The sequence below is a fragment of the Homo sapiens genome, chromosome 9 (genome assembly GCF_000001405.40).
Source record: "Homo sapiens chromosome 9, GRCh38.p14 Primary Assembly".
In the NCBI taxonomy this organism is placed as follows: domain Eukaryota; kingdom Metazoa; phylum Chordata; class Mammalia; order Primates; family Hominidae; genus Homo; species Homo sapiens.
The window spans coordinates 108,829,610-108,831,168 of NC_000009.12; positions in this window are offsets into that span (position 1 = coordinate 108,829,610).

The following is a 1,559-nucleotide window of genomic DNA, read 5'->3' on the forward strand; positions in this document are numbered from 1 at the left end:
TAATATGCTAAGATAAATTATATCTTAAAACTAAAATTTTGTTTTATGTTTATTTATGTATATCTACATATATAAAGATATACTAACATTTTAAAAAATCCTATAAATGATAAGACAAATTTCAGGCTATATTCCATGTAAATAGAATATGCCTGAAATTACAGAAAAAACACTTATACATTTTTTTCTGCAAATTATAATATAGATACACCAAAAGAGTAAAATTAGTGTTTCCTTTCCATAAAATGAGCAAGTTATTTGATGCCCACATAAGAGTTTTCTTTTGAATAACCAAAACATTAACTGTGTCCTTCTGGCATTATCTTGAATAATTTTAACTCAAATTTTGTTAGTGGATCAGACATCAAGGACTGCTGTTGAACCTCAATTAGAAGGACCTTACCAGGTACTATTAACAACATAACAGTAAATCCATACTTCCCAAATATAAAGACTTAAGTCACACTAGAATCACAAAAAGGTTGTTCGAACAGAGATCTCAAACAGAGGTATTGAAGTAATCATTCTGAAGCAGATGACCTCAGGAAGGGGAACCTTCTACCCAAGATCGAGACTAAGCTGGTGACTTCATGATGTATACAACTCCCCCCCAACCCACTACCCAAGAAGACCGGAGCCAAAGATTATTATGCTATAATCTGCATGTCTTTTTGCCGTATTTCTTTGTTCTTTCCTCTTTGCCAAGTTAAGATTTAAATTGCTGATACTTCCTGTTTATTAACTATGATAGCTCTAAGGTCTTTATCCTTTTTTCTTTTTTTTTTTTTTTTTTTTGGCAGCCTTAGTCACTCCTTGGTATGAGTCCAGCACCAGGCTACAATTTGCTCATGATGAGGCTACAGCATGCAATTACACTGTCTGTTGAGTTTGTACCTATTCTCCTCCGGGTGCCACCCAACTTCCTTTGCTACCAATTTCTTGGAATTAATCAGCTGATTTCCTAGGTAATGAGACTCAACCAAGAAGTTATTTGGGGATGACAAATACTGTCATAGGCCAAACATCCAGAACCCTGAAACTCCCATCACATCACAGGCAGAAGGGAAGGTTTCAATATCAAACAAAACAATTCTCAGAAACCTTTTGTGAAACTGAGCTTTTCCAACCAAGTTTTCACAGAAGGAAAGCTGGTGATGGGGATAAGAGGTGTGATGGTGAGGTGCTTTGAGAAAACAGAATACAATGAGAGGACAGGAAAGAGTAAGGATTCAGCGAGGGAAAGTGGCCTCCATGGGATCCTCAGACAAGAGGCAGGGAAGGTCAGGAAGCCTCTGGGAAGGCACAGAGAAGATGGTGACCAGCATTACGGTGCAGCAGATGATGGCCTGGAGCTTGGACCTCTGTAGAATCCAGTGAGAAAGCAGAGGTAGAAGAAGGCTCAGAGAGAAGAGCTACTTTGGGTCCCCGGGAGGCTGGTAAGACGTTGAAGGCAGAGATTAAGATGGATCCACAGAGGAGCAGTGCAAGCCCTGGGTCTCCAAGGTAGCCATGTCTTCCACAGTCTCCCCTGACAGCAGACTGCCAGCTTCCACCGCCAC